This window comes from Homo sapiens, chromosome 12, assembly GCF_000001405.40.
Source record: "Homo sapiens chromosome 12, GRCh38.p14 Primary Assembly".
Lineage (NCBI taxonomy): Eukaryota > Metazoa > Chordata > Mammalia > Primates > Hominidae > Homo > Homo sapiens.
Window position 1 is genome coordinate 119,202,964 of NC_000012.12, and position 19,797 is coordinate 119,222,760.

Below are 19,797 nucleotides of genomic sequence, written 5' to 3' on the forward strand. Positions count from 1 at the left end.
GGAGTTTCCCTTTGTGGCTCCCCGTGGCGTGGGGTGCCCCCACTTCTTAGAATCTTTGAGTATAACAAGCTATGTTTTCAATGGCAATCTTCCCCTTTTCTGTTGTCCACATCTAAATAATGATAGTACCTACAATTTTGTTTTTTCCTTTTTTTTTTTTTTTTTTTGAGACAATCTCACTCTGTTGCCCAGGCTGGAGTGCAGTGGTATGATCTTGGCTCACTGCAACCTCCGCCTCCCAGGTTCAAGCAATTCTCCTGCCTCAGCCTCCTGAGTAACAGGGACTACAGATGCCCACCAACACACCCGGCAAATTTTTGTATTTTTAGTAGAGACAGGGTTTCGTCATATTGGTCAGGCTGGTCTCGAACTCCTGACCTCAGGTGATCCACCCACCTTGACCTTCCAAAGTGCTGGGATTACAGGCATGAGCCACCACACCTGGCTACAATTTCAAATATAGCCACCGCCCCCATCACCTCCAACTCCCTCTAAGAATCAACAGCTGAAGTGTTAATATCTCTTCAGCAGGAGGCCTTTGGACGAGTGGCTGTTCTGAAAGATCAGTGCCGTGTCCTACCAGCTAAAGATTTTGAATATCACACAAACACACACACACACACACACACACACACACACTGGCCTACTATATGGCAGCTATAGCACTGGGCCTTGGGGAACACACACATGGGCCTCTGCCTGCACCCAGCCTGGATGTGGTAGTTACTGGGGGCTTCTAGGAAGAAATGGAAGAAATGATGTCCAGTCGAAACCTGAAGGGGGAGTAATAATAATAATGTTATTGAATGTTATTAGCTGCAAAGCACTGTCTATGCTCTTCACACTCATGTAATCTGTAGTCAACCCTGGAAGGCAGTTGATCCAGAAATGTGCCCAAGATCCCACAGCCTGGAAGAGATGAGCCAGTTTTAAACTACAGCAGGCTTATTCCAGACCAATGTGTTAGCTAGGCCAGGGAGCGGGGAGGGTGAAAAGAAGGGTTAAGAGTTTCTGGCAGAGGGAATGATAATGCTTGGATTTAGTAGGTGTGTGTTGTTTAAAACAAATGAAACCCTTAATTCTCACTCAGAGCTTCAGTTTCTTTATCCATAAAATGGGAATAATTAATAATCACGTTTAATATCCCCCAAAGAATTGCTGGGATGATTGCAAGTTTGTAAAAAAAAACAGGGCTATTGCTTAGTTATTATCACCATCCCAGCAGCTGAGAGAAGCAGAGAGAGCAGAGGAATGACAAGGACCAGCTGTCTTGGAAACGTTGCCTAGTGACCTGATATGGGACAATTTCATTTTTCCTGTGCCTGCATGACACACCAGCTTGTTCTGGATCTGACAGTGACAGCTTACAAAATCCACAGCAGACACGATGACAGAGCTTACTACCAATAGGCAGGCATGTATGCACACACACACACACACACAGGCCCATACACACCTCAGATCTAAGCCAGCACAGACACAGTTGTTGGAGAACAAAGAATGTCTTTGCAGAAGGGACAGAAATGGAGACTTTCTGGCTGTGTCCAAGATTTCATGCTAGATCAGCAGTTCCTAGAGTGGATGCTATCAGCAGAAAAGGAGATGGGAAGAGTTCTGCAGTCAAATAAGTTTGGGAGGTGCTAGGTTAGACAAAGTTAAATACTCCTCTTTAGTCTGGTGATGTGCATTGTGAACCTCCAAGAGGAAGATATAGCTGGTAGCTGTCATTGCATAAGAGATTACCCTAAAATTTAGTGACTTGAAACAGTAAACAGTTATGATTGCAGTTTCTGAGGTTCAGGAATTCAGCTGAGGCTCAGCTGGATGAGCTTGGTTTAAATGAATCTGCAGTCAAGATGTTAGCAGGGACTGCAGCCATCTGAAGGCTAGACCAGGGCTGGAAGGTCTGCCTTTAAGTTCACTCTTGTGGCTGTTGGCTGGAGGCCTCAGTTCCTTACCACGTGGGGCTCTCCATGGGGATGCGTTAGAATCCTCATGATATGGCAGCTGACCTCTCTTAGAGCAAGTGAGCCAACAGAGAATGAGGCAGAAGCCCAACGTGTCTTTTGTGATCTATCCTCGAAAGTGGCTAGCATTACGCCTGCTATATGCTTTTGGACAGCACCACTATAAAGAAACCCTAGAGTGAATGTGAATTTGTTCCAACCTAAGGCAAGAGAGCTGGGCTTTAATGCTTCTGCACCCAACACCCATTGTCTAGTATCTCCCTGGGGTGGAAGTGCGGCTGTGAACTCCCAGTCAGGACATAAACATCACGTCCTTTGACCCTGTGCCTAAAATGGCTCTAGTAGCCCCAGGGAAGTCCTCCACAGAAGAGTCACAGGTGCAAACTCATGGAAACAAAAGCACCCTGAGGCCAGGGGAGGCATATACAGAAACAGTAAAAGGGAGCTGGGGGATGCGGACTGCCCTGTCTGCTGCTTTTATATGCATGAATAAGTGGAAGTCAGAAGTGGTTCAATTGCAGGGCATCAGTTGGACAAACGGCTGAAACAGTATGCAACCACTAAATATCATGCTCCTGAAGATGATTTATTGTCACAGAAATAACATGGGAAGAGCCAGCCTCAAATAATCAGTATGTATGATATTCCATTTAAAATAAATAAATTTAACTTTGCGTTTCTATTTTGTTTTAAAATACCACTATTTCTTGGCCGAGCACGGTGGCTGATGCCTGTAATTCCAGCACTTTGGGAGGCCGAGGCGGGCAAATCACTTAAGGTCAGGAGTTCAAGACCAGCCTGGCACACATGGTGAAACCTCATCTCTACTAAAAACACAAAAATTAGCCAGGCGCGGTGGCTCACGCCTGTAATCCCAGCACTTTGGGAGGTCGAGGCAGGTGGATCACGAGGTCAGGAGTTTAAGACCAGCCTGGCCAAGATGGTGAAACCCTGTCTCTGCTAAAAATACAAAAATTAATGGGGCGCAGTGGTGGGTGCCTATAATCCCAGCTACTCGGGAGGCTGAGGCAGGAGAATCCCTTGAATCTGGGTGGCAGAGGTTGTACTTAGCCGAGATCATGACACTGCATTCCGGCCTGGGTGACAGAGTGAGACTCTGTGTCAAAATAATAATAATAATAATAATAATAATAATAATAATAATAGTAATTAGCCAGGCGTGGTGGCAGTCGCCTGTAATCCCAGCTACTCGGGAGGCTGAGGCAGGAGAATCACTTGAACTCAGGAGACAGAGGTTGCAGTGAGCCGAGATCATGCCACTGCACTCCAGCCTAGACGACAAAATGAGACTCCATTTCTAAAAAAATTTTAAAACTTAAAATAAATACAATTTTGCTTTCTATTTTGTTTTAAAATCCACTATTTCTGTAAAGAAGTTGAGTGTTCACATTACTCTTTCCTTTGTGCTTGTTATGGACTGTGTGTTTTGTATCCCACCAAAAATCACATGTTGAAATCCTAACTCCCAATGTGATCGTTTTAGGAGTTGGGTCTTTGGGAGGTGATTAGGCCATAAGAATGCAGCCCTCATGAATGGGATTAGCGCCTTTATAAAGGGGGCCCCAGAGAGCACTCTCATCCTCTTTCTCCCATGTGAGGGCACAACAAGAAGCTGGCAGTGTGCAACCTGAAGAGGGCCCTCACCACCACCCGACCATGCTGGCAGCCTGGCCGTGGGCTTCCAGCCTCCAGAACAGTGAGGAATAAATTTCTACTGTTTATAAACCACCCAGTCTGTGGTGCTTTATTATAACAGCCCGAACTAGGAGCAGTGCTTTTCTGTGTTTTTCAAATATTCTTCATAGAGAATGGATTGCATTTCAAACAAGAAAAGTAAACCCAGCTGTTAGGTCTGAGAGATTCTCATAAGGAAATCTTTGATTTAATATATCACCTGATGCAAATTTTATTTCCTGTCCTAGAACATGGCATTGGTGTAGCCGTGTGAGGTTATCCATACACACTCCAGAGCAAGACGGCCCTGGTTTGAATTCTGTGCTATCATTTATTAGCTGGGTGACCCTGAGCAGATTTCTTAACTTCTTTGTGCCTCAGGCTCCTTGGCATAGGAGTGATGATGGAGTACCTTGTAGAGTTGCGGAAAGGAATAAATGAATTAAGATATGTAAAATACTTAGAGCAATTGCTGGCAAATAAAAAGCACTTTGGCAGCACAGACCTACCTTCCCCCACCCCTCCCTCATCTCTAATTAGTCTAAATGGCTAAGGCCTTTTTTTCCTCTCTTTTCCCTCTCATTAAAGCTACCCTGTTCCACCTTCTGTTGCATTCCTTGGGGATCCTGCCAGGTATAAGTGGGTAGTGATGAATTAATCAGGTTGGCCAATCACATTCTTCTATGTTCAGGTCTTACTTCCTCCAGGGAATGCCCTCTAACCCAGTTTTGAAGGCTCCAGAGAGCCCTGTACAGGCCTGGGGTGGAGTGGGGGTGGGTAGACACCTGTGGCTTCTGCCTGGCAGCATTTATGTGTCTTTACTCTGGTCATAGTCCCTCAATACCTCTTTGGGACATCTTTCTTACCACTTTGTGCAGATTCACTGGGAACGTCCATCAAAGGACGTCAACCTTCCTTCACTAGGGGTGGGCACATGGCCCAAGCTAAGCCAAGCAGAGCCTCTCTCCTGGGAATTTGAACCTCATGCAGAGAGACTTGAGGATGGGAAATAGTTGAAGCTGATTCATTCCAGAGACAGTGTCCTGAGATGTCCATTTTCCTTGCTCCAGATCCCCAGAGTGGCCCCATTCTGTCCTTCCTGACATCTAAATAGTGTTCAACATTTCTTTTCGATTAAATGAACTATCCCACATCCCTTTCTCCCCAAATTACGTAAAGTCTGTTTCTTTCACTTAAAAACAAAGAATACCAGCTGCTAAGCTATAGTAAGTACACTAGGAGAGAGGGAATGAGAGAGAGAGAGAGAGATGTCAGGCTGGGCAGCATAGCATCTCCCATGCTACCTGTAAGGTGACACCTGAGTTCTAAACCAGCCAAACTACTAACTCCTTCTGTGACCCTGGCCAAGTCCTTTCACCTCTCCCCCTCTTCCCCCAACCCCCATTCTCCTTTGCAGAGTTCTTTTCCTAGAAGAGTCCCATAAATGCAGTTGTGCTGGAGTCCCCTCCTAAGGCCCCTGTGCATTTTCCTGGGAGTATCCCACACATTCCACAGCCTTCTCTAAGCTAACACACCCAAGTCCCTTCCAGATCAGCTCTCTGAGGCTTCAGGTGGCTCCTAGACATCACCACTCACAGGATTCTCAAACTGCACATCTCCAAAGGAGAATCCACTATCTCTCCCTGCAAACTGCTCCCTTCCCTTCCTTCCCCCAAGTTAGTACTCAGCACAAACACCTTCCCTGCAGAAACCCCAGAGCTCTTCTAGACTTCTCTCCTTGTCAGCTGTCACCAAGCTGCTGTCCATACTCTCTGATCTGTATCTGCCAATACTGTCCTCTGCCATATGAGTTCTGTTGTCCAGCAATTGTCACTTTACAAAATCCAGTCATCCATTTATTACTTAACCCTTACAACAAGTCGAGGAGGTGGATGGATGGTATCATCTCAATTTAAGGAAACGGAGGATCAGAAAAGGAAAGCCATCTGCTTAGGGTCACACAGGAATTAGAAAGTAGAGCTGGGGTTTGAACCTAGAGATGACTGAGCCTAAAACCCATGCTGGTCCCTCCAGGACCTCCTCTGTCCATGGTGCCCGAATGCAGGAGGAGCAAGATCTAAGCCCGTCTCTCTCTGGCAGGTTACTAAGGTCCACAGTGCAAACAGCAACAGTGTTGTTCATGAGCTCATCTGCTCCATCTTGCTCCACCCAGCCCTAATCCGGGCTCATGACCTGGGAATTCATCTCCCAGGCAACCAGAGTGATGCAACAAACAGAGGAGCTGCCCAGGCAGGATTGGTGCAAGCCCAGGACCGTGGCTGACGTTCAAGGGCTCCAGCCCAGAATGCCCCCTCTGTGGAATTAGCACCATGTGCCCCTGATGAGCCAGAGGAATCCAAAACCCAGTCCTGGCAAGGACAACAGAGGCTGGAAACATGGGGAGGCTCGTGACCTGCAGTCATCACAAAACACTCATTGTGCATCCTGGGGTACAGGGGAGGGTTCAAGAGACCCACGTTTTGTGTCTTGCCCCAAGAATTACTAACTCTGCATACAATTCATCAGGAAATCCTTCGCTGCCAAATGTATCCAGTGTCCAAACACTTCTCACCACCTCCCCTGCCTCCACCTTGATCCAAGCCTATGTTACAGCAAAGGTTGTTTCCACACTTGTCCCTACAGTCAATTTTTTTTTTCTGAGACAGAGTCTCGCTCTGTCACCCAGGCTGAAGGGCAGTGGTGCGGTCTCAACTCACTGCAGCCTCTGCCTCGCAGGCTCAAGCGATTCTCATGTCTCAACCTCCTGAGTAGCAGGGACTACAGACATGTGCCACTGCACCCAGATAATTTTTTTGTATTTTTAGTAGAGATGGGGTTTTGCCATGTTGGTCAAGCTGGTCTTGAACTCCCGGCCTCAAGTGATCTGCCCTCCTCGGCTTCCCACAGTGCTGGGATTACAGGCATGAGCCACCATGCCTGGTCAATTTTTTTTAAAATTTTTATTGTAGTAAAATATGTAACATGCAATATACCATTTAAATAATTTTCACAAACGAACAACTCCGTGGCATTAAGTACATTCAAAATGCTGTGCAACCACCACCACTATGTTCCAAACTTTTCATCGTCCAAAAAAAAAATCTCTGTAAGCATTAAGCAACAACTTCCTCATTTCTCTCTGCACCCAGCCCCTGGGAACTTCTAATCTACTTTCTGTCTCTAAATTTGCCTGCTCTAGACATTTCATATCAGTAAAATCATACCATATTTGTTCTTTTGTGTCAGGCTTCTTTCACTTAGCTTAATGTTTTCAAGGTTCTTCCATGTTATAGCATATATTGAAACATCATTTCTTTTTATGACTGAGTAATATTCCACATTGTATGGATATGACATTGTATGGATATGACATGCTGTGCATACACGTATCTGTTGATGTATACCCTGCAGTCAGTTTGAACACTAAAGCTGGATTGACCTCGGTAAAATATTACTCAGTTCAAATATGACTCAGATCAAAGCCTCTTAAGGCTCCTCTATTCAGCAAAATCCATAGTCCTTATCATGACTACAAAGCCCTAAAGGATTCTCCCTACACACATACACACAGACATGCCTACACATACACAGGCACACACACACATGCACGCACGCACACATGCACACAAACTTGCATGTACACCCTGTTCCCTTTGTGCCCCTTCAGCCTCATCACTTTCCCCTCTCCCCATCCCCACTCCACTCCTTGCTGCTCCATGAATGCCCCTGGCACACCACCACCCCAGGGCCTTTGAACATCCTGCATGTGCTCTTCCTCAAGACATCTGCATGGCTGAGCCCCTCATTTCCATCAAATATTTGCTCAAATATAATCTCAGTGAGGCTCAGCCTGAACACCCCATTTGAAACTGTAGCTGTTCCCCTTTGTTTATCATTCCCGATCTCCCTTATCAGATCTGTTTTTTTTTCCACACCACTTGCCACTTTCTGACATATTCTGTAATTTATCTATTCATGACTTCCATTGTTTATTATCTCCCTCCACTTCTAGAATGTAAGTTCTACAAGGGCAGGGATTTTTCACCTGTTCCATTCATCAATGTGTCTGAAGCACTGAAGACAATGGCTAATATCCAGGAGGCACTCGGTAGAAATATTTGTTGAGTTAATAAATATAAGTTGGGACGAGTTGCTGCACTTCTCTGGGCCCCTGTATCTGTGAATTAGGGATTACAATCTGTCCCTGGAGCAGTGGGTGTTAGGGTGGGAATCATGTTAGATAACGATTGTTACCACCCTTCATACATCATAAGGTATTATGCAAGTAAGAGAGGGTGGCGGAAAACTGATCTTCACTGAGTACTCTTGATGTCAGATACTTTCCATAATGTATCTCATTTCATTATTGCCATTTTACAGATGAGGAGACTGAGGCTCAGAAAGGTGAATTAACTTGTCCTGACATCACAGTGTGTAAGTGTGGGGGAGTCTGAGCTTCAACACAGCTTCCGGGCTTTTTCTTTGTTTTCTTTTCTTTCTTTTTTTTTTTTTTTGAGATGCAGTCTCGCTCTGTCACCCAGGCTGGAGTCCAGTCGCAAGATCTCAGCTCACTGCAAGCTCCGCCTCCCGGGTTCACGCCATTCTCCTGCCTCAGCCTCCTGAGTAGCTGGGACTACAGGTGCCCGCCACCACGCCCGGCTAATTTTTTGTATTTTTAGTAAGTAGAGAAGGGTTTTCACCGGGTTAGCCAGGATGATCTCGATCTCCTGACCTCGTGACCCGTCTGCCTCGGCCTCCCAAAGTGCTGGGATTACAGGCGTGAGCCACCGTGCCTGGCCTAGGGCTTTTTCTGTAAGTTGAGTCCAGCTCTGTTATTTCATAAGCCTGAGAGCAAACTCCTTCTTCACCAGGGAACAGTGCTGGACCCAGGAGAATAATAAGAATGAAGCTATGAACAATAACCACCTTTTATTAAGAGCTTCGTACATATGTCAGGCTCACTTTTCTAGGTGCCAGGTGCTTTCCATATCTCCCCTCACAAGAAAGCAGGGAATAGGTATTATTATTATTCCCTCGTAACAGGTGATGGAGAACCTGAGGCTCAGAGAGGTCAGGCCACTGACTTGAGGCTACACAGCTAATAAATAGCAGAGACAGCATCTGAGCCCATAGCAATCTGACTCCGATGGCATCTTAAAAAGGGATGATCATAGGAATATGGTTTCTCTAATGCTATGTATGGCCCCCACCTCCATGACCACACCCAAGGACCTCCCCACCCAAAGCAGACCCCAGATGGTGCTTCTGTAGGCGGGAAGGTAAACACAACACCAACCCTCACGCCTGTGCCCTCAGTGCTAGCAGCAGGATGCAAAAGGAGAAGGCATGGGTGGGAGCTGAGATGGGGATCCCACGGGCCTGCGTTGTCAACCAAGATAAATGAATGAACCACTCAGCAAACCAGGGCACTTCCACCCCAGAGCAGAACTGTCACTGGTAAATAAATCATCGAAGCTCTACACTGGACGTGCCAATTTCAGCAGGAGATCATGAGTGCATTTATCTGCTTGGCGACACGCTGGATGTCTTCAGGCTGTGAGGGGCTATGAAAATACTCCTCAGCATGCACTCCGCCCGAGGCTGGTTCCGCGGCATGGGTGGCGGGAGTGGGAAGAGCATCTCCTTCCAGAACTGTGTTCATCTTAAACTTCCCACAGTCCCCCTGATTCAGGGGACTGATGCTTTCTATGCCTTTTAAAATAATAATAACCATCATCGTCATCATAAGTAGCGTGTATTGAGTGCTTACTATGTGCCAGGCATTGTGATTTTAAAAAATATACATTATCTCCCTAACTGGCTAAAATGTTGAGTCTCTGCTGCATAGGAAAATGACTCCTTTGAGGTTGTCTATTCTTTACAATGATTCCCAAACACTGAGTGATATCTAAGAGAGGTGGTCCAGCTCCAGGTCAGAGCTTAACTTCCAAGAACTTCCCTAAGTTCCCACTATCACCAGCAGCAGTAACCACCACCACTCCAAGCCTCCTCTCTCTGATTAGACTCCCAAAAGGAGACAACAGAGGATAGTGAAAGGAGACCAGTGGGAGGTGGGAGAGAAGGAACTGGAACTGAAAAGCCCAGCTCTTGGGGAGATAAAGAAAGTTGAAGCTCAGAAACTTAGGAACCAAGTTCTTGCCATTCGGAGGAACCTGGTCACAATGTTCCACCAAGTTCTGCTGTGCCCTGCCCAAAAATTATTGTCTTGGGAAGTAAAGCTATCAAAAATCTATTATCTTTGGGAGGGGTTGGCAGAACACCCCTGGTATCTATGGAGACATGTGTTAGATAAATGGAGTGAAGGAGGAGAAGAAGGAGATGCTGTCTAGGCCTTAGCATACTTCTTTCATTCAATTCTTAAAATGACCCATTTGACAAAGGAGGGCACTTGGCCGATAGAGGGGTGTTATTTTGAAGTCCCAAAATGTTTTCCATCAGAAGTTTCCAACTTATTCCAAGCCCTCCCACATCCTGTGGAAAGACCCCTGGCCCTATAGCCAATGGCCCAGTCAGCCACAAAACACTTCTCCACCTCTCACCTCTTTGAAAACAAGAAATAAATAACCAACCATCAGAAATCTGCAGTTGTAAAAACCAAGTTGTGAAATTGTCTTTATTTATATCATCACAATACATTGAAAGGATCAGCTTACAAAATAGCAGGTACAATAGGATACCATTTAAAAATTGCATAAGAATTAAAGTGCTGGAAAGAAATATACCCAATACTAACAATGATTTTTTTTTTGGAGTAAGGGAGAGCAGATGTATTGGTGATTTTTATTTTATTAGTTTAGCTTATCTATAATTTTCTAATTTATCAGCAAGGTACATGTGGGGTGTGTCTTAATTGAATAATAAACAACAAAATAAAAGGTTGTTTTTTTTCTCAAAAGAAAGAATGAAATAAATACCTTGGAACCTGTATAAAGCTGCTGCAGGGAAACGGTGCGAACATCTACACCAGTGGCCAGCCTTGTTCTTCCACAGTTCTTCGTGCTTATTTTTATTTATTTATTTTATGTTTCAGGGAACATAATACAACTGGATCTAAGCTTAAGCAAACACGTGATGAGGGAACAAGTAAACAGGCAGGTAGGTCATCAGGATTTCTATTGTGTTTGTTTCTACACAGAAAAAAGAAAGGGGCCTGTGCTTTTGACTCAAAATTGCCTCCCACTGCATCGCCTGGTTCCTCTAATGTCCAAAAGGAAATCCTGTCAAGCCCCTTAGAACTCCCCAGGCTCCTTCACATCCAGCCCTCATCCATTCAGTTCCCACTAACAGGGCACCACCTCACCTTTCATTTCTTTTTTCATTGATTCGGTGAAGTTCATATGCCAGAGTTCAAATCCTCACTCTGCCTGAGTTCAAATCTCCACTCTCCCTGAGTTCAAATATCTACTCTACCTGAAAGTAAATCCCACTCTACCTGAGTTCAAATCACCACTCTGCCAGAGTTCAAATCTCTACTCTACCTGAGTTCCAATCTCTACTCTGCCTGAGTTCAAATCCCCACTCTGCCTGAGTTCAAATATCTACTCTATCTGAAAGCAAATCCCACTCTACCTGAGTTCAAATCCCCACTTGGCCTTAGCACAAATCTCCACTCTGCCAGAGTTCAAATCTCTACTCTGCCTGAGTTCAAATCTCTACTCTGCCTGAGTGCAAATCTCTACCCTGCCTGAGTTCAAATCCCCACTCTGCCTGAGTGCAAATCCCCACTCTGCCTGAGTTCAAATCCCCACTCTGCCTGAGTTCAAATATTTACTCTACCTGAATGCAAATCCCCACTCTATCTGAGTCCAAATCTCCACTCGGCCTTAGCACAAATCTCCACTCTGCCTGAGTTCAAATCTCCACTCAGCCTGAGTTCAAATCTACACTCTGCCTGGGTTGAAATCTCCACTCGCCTGAGTTCAAATCTCCACTCTGCCTGAGTTCAACTCTCCACTCTGCCTGAGTTCAAATGTTTACTCTGCCTGAATGCAAATCTCCACTCTGCCTGAGTTCACATCTCCACTCTGTCAGAGTCCAAATCGTTACCCTGCCTGAGTGCAATTTCCAACCCTGCCTAAGTGCAAATCCCCACTCTGCCCTCAACTAACTAGAGGATCTTAGGCAAGTCACTTCACCTATCCAAACCTCAGCATCGTCATTAGTAAAGGGGTAATTTTCATTACCAACTCCTCGGGTTGACTAAGGGAGATAATGCTCACAGTGTCTTTGGGACATGGCAGTGAATGGCAGGCAACATGAACCCCTCTCTCTCTTTTCTCTTCTGCTTTTTTGTTTCCTCTCATGAAGGTGCCCAAAGGGTCAAAATGGTGTTTGGGGACACAACAGTGCTTTCTTACTCTCCGAGGCTTCTAATGCAACTCATAGCCTTTGAATAGGGTTGTCATCTCATGACTCCCACGGTGATTGCAGGATGCCTGTCCTCAGACTGGCCGAAAGCCAGACAGACCACCAGTCTACCAATTTCTGAATTTGCCAAAAATGTTCTTGAAGACTAGCCTTCCTGAATATATCCAATGAATATTAATATGGTCTGCTTAATATATTAGTCTTGAACATATTCAGAGAACATATCCTTCTCAGCAGCATTTTAAGCTTAATTTGTCTAACACTAAATATCATGGGGGCTGTTTAGCTTTCTTATGACTATCTGCTAATGAAGAATAGATTATTGAATATCTTAAACAGAGTCTTGAATATAATTAAAATATCCTGGCTACATTTTTGGATAAGAGTATTCAAGAAGCATAAATTCACTGAGAATTACCATTGAACTGATTAAAAGAGCATATTATGAGAATGTAGTCATTGACTATGTTCAAGAGCAGGATGTTCGTCTTCAGTAATTATATTTGATAAGAGTTTTCCTTAAAATACAGTTTTGGAAAACTGGCAAATTTGACCGATTGGATCGATTGATTTCAAGCATCTTGATTATTTTAGGGAACTACTGATCATGGAGTTGATTTTTGATAAATTGGCCAAATTGACTGTGAACTGCTGGGGCAGACAAACAGAGTGCCCCCTGTGAGGTCTGCGGGGAGGTCCACAAAGATTCACCTCCAACTTCCTTTGTGCTCAACTTCGGCCAAAGCCCTAACCCTCCAGCTCTACTCCAACTCTCTGGAGCACCCCTACTCTCTCTGGGCACTGAAGGCCACCCACATTTTAAGAGGACCCTGTCCTCTTTATTAGCTTCCACATACAAGTATGCATTTTTTCTTTTTGAGACGGAATGTCACTCTGTTGCCCAGGCTGGAATGCAGTGGTGCTATCTCGGCTTACTGCAACCTCTGCCTCCCGGGTTCAAGCCATTCTCCTTAACTCAGCCTTCTGAGTAGCTGGGATTACAAGCGCCCGCCACCATGCCCAGCTAACTTTTTGTGTTTTTAGTAGAGATGGGGTTTCACCATGTTGACCAAGTTAGTCTCGAACTCCTGACCTCAAATGATCCGCCCATCTCAGCCTCCCAAAGTGCCGGGATTACAGGCGTGAGCCACCGCACCCAGCCCTCAAGTATGTATTTATGCTGCAGGAATGTGGATCATGGACTAAGAGCCAAAACTCAAATACGTAACTCTGAGTTTGAATCCTATTTCTGCTGCTGACTGGCTGTGTGATCTTAGGTAACTGACATAACCTCTCTGGGCTTTAGTTTCTTCTGTAAACCAAGGTGAAAATAGTTCCAACTCTAGAGAATTGCATCAAGGATTTCATGAGATCAGCCCTTAAAGTGCTGAGCACAGTGCCTGGCACATAGTAAGAGCTCAATGCATGATAGCTCTCATTGTCGTTATTGTTGTAATCTGAGAAATTTGCTTCTAGTTTTAGGGAAATCCCTTCATATCTCTAGTCTTTGGTTTCCTTCTCTGTAAAATTTAAAATGGTAAAGGCAGACTAGATCCATCCTTCTCAAAGAGAGATTAGAGGCTTCCAGAGGGCTCCCACTACACTTTCAGGGGGTCCACGAGATCAAAACTATTTTTTGTAACACTACTAAGGTGTTATTTGCCTTTTTCACTCTCATACTCTCATGAGTAGAGAGAAAAATTTCGCTTAGTCAACATGACCAGTGATATCACAATAGAATGAAGGCAGGAGCAGCAATGAGAATCCAGTCATCATTGAATGTTGAACATCTGAGAGATTTGCAAAAATATAAAACAATGTACTTCTTCTCGGTTTTTTGGAAAATATAGTTATTTTTCATAAAAATATGATATTTTTGTTAACATCACATGGGTTGCCTATTGTTTTTAAATGGATTTATACATAAATATTTTAAAAATGTGTCAGTTTTAATTTCTAAAGTAGTAAATAATGATAGCTATATCTATACAAACACATTATTTGGGGTCTTCAGTAATTTTTAAGAGTCTAAAGTGTCCAGAGATCAATACGTTTGAGAATTACTAGATTAGATTATTTCAATAGGTCCAAGAGTCTGGGGTTGTTACATGCCAGGCCCTCAATATATGTTGCTCATTCATCTTCATTCACTTATTCATACTGCAACAGACATTTAAGGAGTAGTTCCTATGTGCCAGGCACTTTGCAAGTTGCTGGGGGTATAATGGAGGAAAAGACACAGTTTCTGGTAGGGAATACATGAACATACTTGTTCATTGAGTGATATAGACACACAAACCCGATGATAGTCCTTATGAGGCAAGAGGAAGACAGGCTGGTGTGAGCTTAGAAGTAGGGTGGCAGGAACAAGATGACACCACAGGCAAGGAGTGTTAGCAAAGAATTCTCAATCACATTTGCAGGAATGCGCTTGGAACTGAGAGGGAGATTCGGGCAAGGAATCAAGGTGGGGCTCAGAGGGGCACACAGGGGTTGAGGGTTCAAACATCTTGGACTGTGATTCAGGAATGATGACCTCTGTCTTTGAGCCAGGTGAGAACAGCACCTCAGAGAGAGACAGCCACAACAGACATGGGTTACCTAGGAGACATCTGATGCTCTGTCTTGCAGCTGTTCATACATGTGCTTCTTTCTGCCTGTAACATTGTGGCCTGTCCTCAGTTTTCTTCAGGTGGCCAATGCTCCTACCTTTAGCACTCTGCTTCTTCTAGCTATCTCCTCTTATACCCGGGGCTCCCAAGACAGACTGCATAACCATCAATGCACCTGTCACTGGATCATCCACACCTACTTCCCTCCCTTACCAGACTGTAAGTTTCTTTTTTTCTTTCTTTCTTTTCTTTTCTTTTCTTTTTTTTTTTCTTAGACAGAGTCTCTCTCTGTTGCCCAGGCTGGGGTGCAGTGGCACAGTCTCAGCTTACTGCAATCTCCACCTCCTGGGTTCAAGCAATTCTTGTGCCTCAGCCTCCTGAGTAGCTGGAATTATAGGCGTGCACCACAATGCCAGGCTAATTTTTGTATTTTTTGTAGAAAAAGGGTTTCACATGTTGGCCAGGCTGGTCTCGAACTCCCAACCTCAAGTGGTCTGCCCTCCTCGGCCTCCCAAAGTGCTGGGATTAACAGGCACAATCCACTACACCTGGCCCTTTAGACTGTAAGTTTCTTGAAGAATAAAATGGCACTCTGTCCCCATCATACTTGTGGGGAATAGCTCAGAACTTGTATACAATAAGCGTCATCGGCAGCAGCATCATTGCCATCATCATTATTAAAGCCATCATTTGGGTTCATGTTTTTTTTTTTTTTTTGCACTGTCACCACGTGCTAAACATTTTATAGATCTGAACTCATAAAGCTTAACTCTTTTAATCATTATCACAATACCCAGGTGGTATTAGGTCACACTCTATGAAACTGCCATTTTCTGTAGGTTAAAACAGTCCAATATTAACAATTTCCTGTGGTTCAATCAAATATATTTTAGTGCCCCCATGTGACAGATGAGAAAATTGAGGCACTAAAAGACAATTATTTGATGAGTAATGAATAAATGAATGAATATCGGGGGAAATTCACCCCCGATATTTCACGTAGGTTCTTTTCTACTTTCCCTAAGTGTCAGCTGGTCTGAGAAATAAAGGGAAAGAGTACAGAAGACAGAAATTTTAAAGCTGGGTGTCCGGAGGAGACATCACATGTCAGCAGGTTCTGTGATGCCCCCCAAGCAGCAAAACCAGCAAGTTTTTGTTAGTGATTTTCAAAAGGGGAGGGAGTGTATGAATAGGGTGTGGGTCACAGAGATCACATGCTTCACAAGGTAATAAAATATCACAAGGCAATTGGAGGCAGGGTGAGATCACAGGACCACAGGACCCAGGCAAAATTAAAATTGCTAATGAAGTTTCGGGCATGCATTGTCATTGATAACATCTTATCCAGAGACAGGGTTTGAGAGCAGACAACCGGTCTGACCAAAATTTATTAGGCGGGAATTTCCTTGTTCTAATAAGCCTGGAAGCACTACGGGAGACCGGGGCTTATTTCATCCCTTATTAAGCCGTAAAAGACAGCCGCCCCCAAAGCAGCCATTTCAGAGGCCTCCCCTTACGGACATGTTCTCTTTCTCAGGCATGTTCCTTGCTGAGAAAAAGAATTCAGCAATATTTCTCCTATTTGCTTTTGAAAGAAGAGAAATATGGCTCTGTTCTGCCCGGCCCACAGGCAGCCAGATTTTAAGGTTATCTCCCTTGTTGCCTGAACATTGCTGTTATCCTGTTCTTTTTTCAAGGTGCCCAGATTTCATATTGCTTAAACAATTTGTGCAGTTAATGCAATTATCACAGGGTCATCCTCAGCTTGTGAAGATGATGGGATTAAGAGATTAAAGTAAAGACAGGCATAGGAAATCACAAGAGTATTGATTGGGGAAGTGATGAGTGTCCATTAAATCTTTATAATTTATGTTCAGAGATTGTAGTAAAGACAGGTGTAAGAAATTATAAAAGTATTAATTTGGGGAACTAATAAATGTCCATGAAATCTTCACAATTTATGTTCTTCTGCCATGGCTTCAGCCAGTCCCTCCGTTCGGGGTCCCTGACTTCCCGCAACAAATGAATAAATGAATCCTTAGAAATGAGAAAACTGATCTATGGTGAGCCCCCACTGTGCACCAGGCCCTTTGCAGGCATTCTTTCATCTTTGTAATGTGGCCTCATCCAAAGAGATTTTTAAGCGGGGGAATGATCAGTCAGGTTGCGTGCAGATGCATTACTTCATTTAATTCTTACCATGTCCTGAGGAGGGAAATAGGCAACTGTTACCACTACTGAAAAGATGAGAAAACTGAGGCTCAGAGATGTGAAGGGGCTTTCCAAGATCACACAGCCAGGCAGCAACAGAGGTAGGATTTCAACCCAGGTCCATCTGATTCCCTTCCTCAGGTCAGAAAACACATAAGGGAGGCTTCTCATTGTTGTGTAGCAGGTGGGAAGCTCAGAGCCCCTCATTATGGAGGGAGTCTGTATTAGTCAGCTCTGGCTGCCGTAACAAAATACTCCAATGGTTTGGTTTAAACACAACTGAAATTTATTTTCTCACATTTCTGGAGCTGAAAGTCCAAGATTGAGGTACTGGTAAATTCAGCTTCTGGTGAGGGCTCCCTTCCTGGCTTGCAGACAGCCACCTTCTTGCTCTCAGAGGGAGAGAGAGAGAGATAGAGAGAGAGAGATTCTCTTCTTATAAGCCTACTAATCCCATTGGATCAGGGCCTCATGCTCATGACTTCATCTAATCTTAATTACTTCCTTAGAGGTCCCATCTCCAAATACAGCCACATTAGCAGTTGAATTTTGGTGGGACACAAACACTCAGTCAGGGTCATTTCCAGTTACCCCCACCTCCCTGCTCTGAATTCTACTATCCACACCCCACTGAGAGAGAAACTGCTAGCGGTGAAAACAAAAGCCTCCTCACTCCTAAAGGGGAGAGACAGTAAAGGCAAAAGAACGATTCACCCAAGCAGCTAATATTTACAAACTTGCCAAAACCTTCCCCGACTTCCCACACAAACACAGACACCAGAGGCTTACTGCTGTCTCAGTTTATTGTACTAAAAATATTTGCCAGCACAAGGTTTTTATTAGTAGTGTGATTAGGATTATTATTTTTTTTCCACAGACAAAATCGTTACTGGAGTAGGAGGCTGTGGACATCTGAAGAAATACCACAGAGGAAGCCTATACTGCCATCTTTTTCTCATTTTTTCTGACAGGATCTATATCAATTCCTTTTTTCCATTCCTTAATTCTATTATTTTTAACTACATAAGACATTTTGTTACAGGAAAACCAGAAAACCCGAAAACCCAGAAGAAAATGAAAATCATTCACATTCCCTCCTTTCAGAGAAGGCTATGACTATTACATTTTCATTGCTTTTTTCCCATCAACTTTCACATGCACCAACATATAGAGAGTATTGTTTTTAATATTATTTTACAGAAATGGTATCAAACTTGGTGTATTTCCTCCTCTTTATTAGTACATATCACGAGTGTCTTTCCTTGCTAATAAATATGGATTGAGTTAATGTTTAATGGCTGCCTACTATTAAATTCTGTTGTATGGATGTCTTATAATTTATTTAAGAACAGTCCTATTGATGCACCTTTAGATTGTTTCTAAGTTTTCATTCTTATAAACCAAGCTGAGATAAGCATCCTGGCAGCTAAATATCTGTACTCATTCATGCTTTCTTTCTTAAGATAAATTCCTAGAAGTAGTATTTCCAAATAAATAGATATACATAGTTTTGCTGGTACTGTATTTTTGCATGCCCATAAAAAATATATATATACACATATATATATCACACTGGAGAGTTTTCCTTTCACCCTTTCCTTTTTCATTGTTGGGAAACATCTCTGAAAAGTCAGAAGTTTTTAAAAACATAATAACTGCAGTAGTCTGTTATCGCGATGCTAATAAAGACATACCCGAGACTGGGTAATTTATAAAGGAAAGGAGGTTTAATGGACTCACAGTTCCATGTGGCTGGGGAGGCCTCACAATCATGGTGGAAGACAAAGGAGGAGCAAAGGCATGTCTTACATGGTGGCAGGCAAGAGAGCATGTGCAGGGGAACTGCCCTTTATAAAACCATCAGATCTCATGAGACTTATTCACTATCACGAAAACCTGCCCCCATGATTCAATTACCTCCCACTGGGTCCCTCCCACGACACGTGGGGATTATGGGAGCTACAATTCAAGATGAGATTTGGGTGAGGACACAGCCAAACCATATCAATGACACATCAACATTATACTATGAGAGTTAATTGATCATTAAATTGGAGTTGCATCACATATATTTAACTAACTTGAGTTCAACTGTCTCACTAAATGTAAAACATCATCAACTTTAAGATATACTATTATTTTATGTAAAATTAAGAAAGAAAATTAAAAGCTCTTTCAATTAAACTATGACCCAACGCCTTATAGTCCAATGCCACACATTGATTGATCACAGCATTCCTCCTTTGAAATTCTGTTCATCTATTCTAAGGGATTGCCTCTAGTTGCCTGGCTTGGTGTATAAAAAGAAACCCTTTCGCACATATTTCAGTGACATAATGTACCATAGCTTCATCTACTGTGGTTTCTTCCTTTTTAGGGGTTCAGCACAGATTTGATTGTTGCTTTGCAGGAAAATATGAAACTGGAGTCATTCCCCCAAACACAAGAATGTGATTCACTAATATCAAGTTTCCACACCACTGCTCTGTTTGGGGACCTTTCTGTATATACACACGCTTTCCATTCCAGTGCCACACCATATCAGTGTAATCTTTTTGAAGACATTTTAAGTGGCAATTAAAATCAACATGTGAAGTACTTGTAATGTGCATAACTCAGTTGAAGTGATGACAATGTGAGCAGCTAGGACCAAGTTTGCTTAGGCGCAGGGAATGAAACTATATCATGCCTGCTGGCTGGCTGATAGCAAATTGTAAAATACATCTCAATTTCAGGGATGTGAAAATTAGAAAAAGTGTGCATATTAAAATTGATGAAATGTCATTAGGGAAGCTTCAAAAAGTTAAGATAAAAAAAGGAGGAATTTCAGTACAAATATGTGGGCAATTATGCTTCCTTCTTCCACTTGGTAAATGTGTGTCCCATGACAGGCATGAGATAGGACAAATACGTCTGTCCAACTC

At 43.5% G+C, this 19,797-nt stretch overlaps 1 long non-coding RNA gene across 1 annotated transcript, besides 1 other annotated feature; it reads left to right on the plus strand.

Moving 5' to 3' along the window:
* LOC105370026 (uncharacterized) lies at window positions 7,722-18,168 on the plus strand. Its single transcript, XR_945438.3, has 3 exons — window positions 7,722-8,096; window positions 10,714-10,778; window positions 17,751-18,168. It is a non-coding gene; the product is annotated as an uncharacterized LOC105370026 (long non-coding RNA).
* Window positions 15,733-16,234: an enhancer, noted in NCBI's record as "OCT4-NANOG hESC enhancer chr12:119656501-119657002 (GRCh37/hg19 assembly coordinates)". NCBI's record gives its function as "activates a minimal SCP1, AML or CMV promoter by ChIP-STARR-seq in primed H9 embryonic stem cells {active_cell/tissue: H9 hESC(primed)}" and the evidence as "EXISTENCE:reporter gene assay evidence [ECO:0000049][PMID:30033119]".